Source organism: Homo sapiens, chromosome 17 (genome assembly GCF_000001405.40).
Source record: "Homo sapiens chromosome 17, GRCh38.p14 Primary Assembly".
Taxonomy (NCBI): Eukaryota; Metazoa; Chordata; class Mammalia; order Primates; family Hominidae; genus Homo; species Homo sapiens.
Window position 1 is genome coordinate 65,585,253 of NC_000017.11, and position 5,922 is coordinate 65,591,174.

Here is a 5,922-nt window from a genome sequence, read left to right on the forward strand (position 1 = left end):
AACCCGAGGCAGAATGCAGAGCGCATACACGGGCCCCTCTGGCCGATCCAAGAGAACCTCAGGAAGAGCAGGGACTTTGGGCCTTGGAAGGTGAGGCTAACGTTCACATGCCTTGAGAGTGGCCGGGATGACTCTTGCAGGCCAGTCTCGCTGGTTGCTTTTATCTCTGATGAATCCACCCTATTTGGCTTTGGGGGTGCCTGACTCACTGTTGACATTGTATGTCACTTGCAAACAATTCATAAAACTTAAATATCAAACAGATCACACTGGATCAAATAGATCAAACAGATCAAGTGGGATCTTGGAGTGAGAGCATTCATGAGTTCAGTTTCAGACCTGGCCTTAGAGCTTTTAGGTCCAGGGGTGCTAGACAGCACCATGGGCTGCACCTGTTCTCTGCATCAGAGTCCTGGGGGAGGTCTACACAAAGCCGGATTCCAGAGCTTTTCTCTGGAGACTCAGGAGGTCAGGCTGAGGGGTCAGCAGCTTAGCCCAGTGATTTTTAGACCACCCTGGATCAAGATAGCCTAAAACAATGGATGTAATTGTCATTACATACAGGTAAAATTAATGGACAGAAATGCCTCAATTCTTTCTCCCATAATTAAGAAAAACCAACCCTAAAAAATATTTGGTAGGTCTTGACACTGAATTCTAGAACAGGATCTTTGGTATTTGCCCAGAAATGTACATTTGGGTTTACTGTACCCATGTGCATTAGTCAGCTTGGGCTGCCATAGCAAAACACCATACACTGGGTGGTTAAATCACAGATATTTACTTCTCACAGTTCTGGAGGCTGGAAGTCCAAGATGAAGATGCTGACGTCTTTGGTTCCTGGTGAGGGCTCTCTTTCTGGCTTGCAGAGGGCTGCCTTCTGGCTATGTCCTGCTATGGCTGAGAGACAGAGAGAGAGCAAGCTCTCTGGCATCTCTTTTTTTTTTTTTTTTTTTAGATGCAGTCTCACTCTTATTGCCCAGGCTGGAGTGCAGTGGCACGATCTCAGCTCACTGTAGCCTCTGCCTCCTGGGTTCCAGCGATTGCCCTGCCTCAGCCTCCCCAGTAGCTGAGATTACAGGCACACGCCACCACGCCCGGCTAATTTTTGTATTGTATTTTTAGTAGAGATGGGGTTTCACCATGTTGGCCAGGCTGGTGTCAAACTCCTGACCTCAGGTGATCAGCCTGCCTCAGCCTCCCTAAGTGCTGGGATTACAGACGTGAGCCACTGTGCCTGGCCTTTGTGTCTCCTCTTATAGGGGCACTAATCCCACCATGAGGGCCCCATCCTCATGACCTCATCTGAACCTAATCACCTCCCAAAGGCCCCATCTCTGAATATTGGGGGTCAGGGCATCAACATGGGAATTTTGGGGAGACAGATTGGGTCCATAGCACCATGTTTCATGGAGCTCCTCTGGGAGCATCACCAGGTTGTTCTGACCCACATGTCAGGTGCCTGCCAGGTGGGCACTGGCTTAGACTCGGGGGCAGTGTCAGCAATGGTCAGACCCGGACTTTTGCTCTTCAGGAGCTCTCATTGTGTGAGAGATCAACATAGAAACAGGGTAACGACCAAGGTGGAGATGTACCCAGGGTGCTAGGGGAGCAAAAGGGGGCACTGAGTCTACTTTACAGGAGATGACAAGGGGTAAAATCAGCTCAAGGAAACTGAGAAGGGCAAACCTGGAAGATGGAACAGCATGAGCACAGGCTCTGAAGCTCGACGCAGCCTTGGGAGAGGGGATGGCTCCCTGTGGAGCCGGACAGTACGTAACCCACAGGGGGCTGTCTGGAGTGGAAGTTGTTGTGGCCAGATCAAGGAGAAACCCAGGGCTCTGCTAGGAGTATGGCCTTGACTTCGCAGATAAATTGTCTTAAACTGGGTAGTGGAGGAGCTACGTAACCTGAGCTGGGTTTTAGAAAGCTCCCTGTTGTGGGCGTGTTGGGGCTGGATGTAATGAGAGGTAGGATTCAGGCAGCAGGGACCCCATGGGAGTCCATTACACGAATGTAAGCGATCATATTTGTTTAGATATTCACATTTTATTTCAGCAACTGTCTTAGATAGGGCTCCCCAGAAACTGACTCTGTGAGGGGAATGCATGTGAATTACTAGGAAAACTGTAAGGAAAATCCTGCAGGGGAGCGAGGGAATGGAAGGGAAGGAAGCCAAGCAAGGCTGTGACACCGAGCAGTGTCCACAGAGGGGGGACTTTGGTTCCACCCATGGGGAAATCTGGAGACAGCGTAGCCCACTGCTCACCACTGTTCTGGCTTGGGGACAAGGGAGCTGGAGGATTTATACCCCAGCATCTGTCCACCACTAGTTAAGGGCTGGGAGGAGATTAAAGGTATGCAGACACTTGCTGCTCTCCCAGTTGCCAGCAAAACACATTCTAGAAGCTTCCACCAGAGAGGCAGCAGGAAACGCTGCGAGTGAAGCAGGAAGAAGCTGGTCTCCAGGGTGGGGTGGGGGTGGGGAGAGAGGGGGTTGGAGAGCAGAGCACTGAGGGCATCTGGTGCCATGTGAGGCTGCCCAGGGACTTCCAGTGCATCTCATGACTAGCCAGGGCCAGCCAGGAATTCCTGCTTGGGAAGTACTTAGTATGGTTCAAATCTAGAATGTCGAGGAAAGCCCAAAACAGGACAGCCGCATCAGCTCCTTTTCCGGGATTATGGGGACTTTATAACTCGAAAAAATTTTTTCCAGCTGGGAGTGGACAAGGGATTTGGCAAGCAAGGAATGACCCCATACTGACCTCACCAGCTAACCGAGAACCACATCAGTGGCTACAATAGGGCTTTGCTGCAAGAATCGGGGCCCATCCAAGGGCTGCCACTGACTGGTTAACTAATGTGGGGAAGGCCAAGTTCCCATCCATCGGTTACTCAGTGCTCTTTATCTCCACAATCACAACGACTCTACCTGCCCTACTCATCTCTAAGATGGTTATAAAGATAAAAATGGGATTCCAGCTTGGGCAAGTTTTCCAAGAATGTTCAAGGCTTGTTGTAAGTCCATAGTATATGCCACTTCTGAAATGCTGAGTAATGTCAGACAAGGGCCAGCAGGGAGAAAAGTGACATTTACTGAATGTCCCCTACAGGTTGGCGGCTGCCTTTGCAAGCTTCATGCAGGTGATGAGAAGGTGCATAGGGAGAACTTTGACCTTCAAGGCTGGATACTGACAGAAACCTTGGTCTGTCCCTGTGGCTGCAGCTATCACTAAGGCATGTGGTCTCCACCCAAAATGCAATTAATCACTGAGCACGGGCGTTACCTCTTCAGACTTGTGAATAAACAGAGATCAAAGACAGCCAGTCAATGAGACTCTGATAGGCCTTTAACCAGGCCCGGTGCCAGCTCGCTGGCCGCCCGCACTCCTGATCCAGCCAGACACACTCAGCCACCCATATGTCAACTGCCTGTCCTGCCCCCCACCCTCCAGGGCCAGGCCAGCCTTCCACAGTGTCCCAGAACCATTGAGCTTCCAGGTTAACCTCTTCCCTGTTATAATGACGCACGGAAGTCACCTTTCTCTTGGAAAACCAGGACTGTGGATGACATGGCTGGGACACCATCCCTTTCCCCCTTCCCCTTGACAGCCCACTGGGTCCTGTCACTGATAGACCCAAAAGCAGAGCATCTCCCTCTGAAACATTCAAATCTGTACCCTAGGCCCATTTACAAAGCTGACTTGTCTGGAGCCTCAAGACTGCAAGAAAACAACGAGACTCTGACTGTAACATCTGAACTGTCAGGGAACGCCTGTATAACCTCTGTCGGCCTCTCTGCCAGGCAGGGTTTATGCCCCACCTCACTGTGGGAACCCTGGTGCCCCAGATGTGGGGATGAGAGTGAGGGGGACGGGGAGTCTGTGCCATGCTCCAGGATGGCCAGGCTCTCCTGGCCACCCCCAGTGTCTACCTCAAAGTCCCCACCCCATTGCACAGCACGGGAACCTGTGCCCACAGCTCTACAGTGTGAGCTCTTTAAGGGCAAGGAAAAGATTCATTCACCTTTGCATTTCCAGAACTTCACCCAAAGCAGGGGCCCAGCACAGGTAGGTGTCTTTCATGCGGGACCCACCACACACCACCGGGAATACTGAGGATCTGAGAGCCTGTGGGACTTGCCCAAGCTAAGCTGGTCAGTGAACGGCAGGGTCTGGACTTGAACACAAGTCTGTCTGACTTCAAAGTCTGGGCTTGTTCCAATACATTACACATATGTCTGAGCTAAGACATCTGGGTTTACAACATCATAAAAATCAAAGGTTGGCAATACGTTCCCAGCATCCAGTTTCACACATGGACCAGTTTTGTCCCAGAGCCAAGGACTGGCGACCCTGGCTTCAGGCACCCCTTTGCTGACAGGAGCTCTGGGGAAGACAGTGCAGAGGGCACTGTCCATGCAGCCTCTCTGGGGGCAAGGACAGGCCATACTACAGATGTTTTCAGTTACCACCAAGTTCTCTCTTCTCTAAGAGGATGTAGGCTGCCTTGTATAATATCTACATTAGTGGCCAGGCATAGCGGCTCATTATAGACATGAGTTACCAGCACTGGGAGGCTGAGGCGGGTGGATCACCTGAGGTCAGGAGTTTGAGACCAGCCTGGCCAACATGGTGAAACCCCGTCTCTAGTAAAAATACAAAAATTAGCTGTGTGTGGTGGCATACACCTGTGATCCCAGCTACTTGGGAGGCTGAGGCAGGAGAATCGCTTGAACCGGGGAGGTGGAGGTTGCAGTGAGCCGAAATTGCACTACTGCACTCCAGCCTTGGCAACAAAGCAAGACCTTGTCTCAAAAAAAAAAATCTAAATTAGCAGATGATTTTCAAAGTTTTTGGATTGGATTGTGGAACAAATCATATCATTTCCCTGTATCAGGCTACATTGAATATTCGCCATAATTTTATTTTATTTATTTTTATTCTTAATTTTGAGGCAGGGGCTCGCTGTGTCATCCAGGCTGGAGTGCAGTGGTGTGATCATGGCTCTTGGCAGCCTTGAACTCCTGGGCTCAAGTAATCCTCCCACCTCAAACCTCCCAAGTAAGCTGGGATGACAGGTGCACACCACCATGCCCAGCTAATCATCAGAATTTTCCAAGAACAAATCAAATGAATGCATAGCCTATCTGTGATCAAGGAGAGTCTATGTTACACACCGCTACACATTACCTGCCCTTCTTCAGGGAACACTCTCTATGATCTCTGATAATCCAGGCACAGTTGGCCACAGTGTTTCTCTTTTCTTTCTTTCTTTCTTTTTTTTTTTTTTTTTTTTGAGATGGAGTCTCGCTCAGTTGCCCAGGCTGGAGTACAGTGGCACGATCTCAGCTCACTGCAGCCTCCGCCTCCCGGGTTCAAGCGATTCTCGGGCTTCAGCCTCCCGAGTAGCTGGGATTACAGGCGTGCACCACCACACCTGGCTAATTTTTGTATTTTTAGTAGAGATGGGGTTTCACCATGTTGGCCAGGCTGGTCTTGATCTCTTGACCTCGTGATCCGCCCACCTCGGCCTCCCAAAGTGCTGGGATTACAGGCGTGAGCCACCACGCCCGGCCACAGTGTTTCTTTCTGAGCTTAAAAAACCAGAAAGGGGGATAAAAGGTTGGAAGTGAAATTTGGTCAGCTAGTTAGATCATGAGTGTTAAAAGGTAATAAAATCAAGGCGGCTGCTGGCTCTGGCCAGAGTCATCTTCCCAATACAGCCTTTCTGCAAAGGTCTGGCAGCTGCAGGGCAGCCACACCACGGTACAAGAGTCAGTTGCAGACGGAGTAGGAGGTCCCCAGCTCTCTCCTGCCCTCCTTTGATTCTTCCACCTGAGGCCCAAGTATGGCTTGTGTCTTGAGATGCTGCAGTCTCTTTCCCTAGGGTACATTTATACTGCTTCAGAGAAGCTTTTGG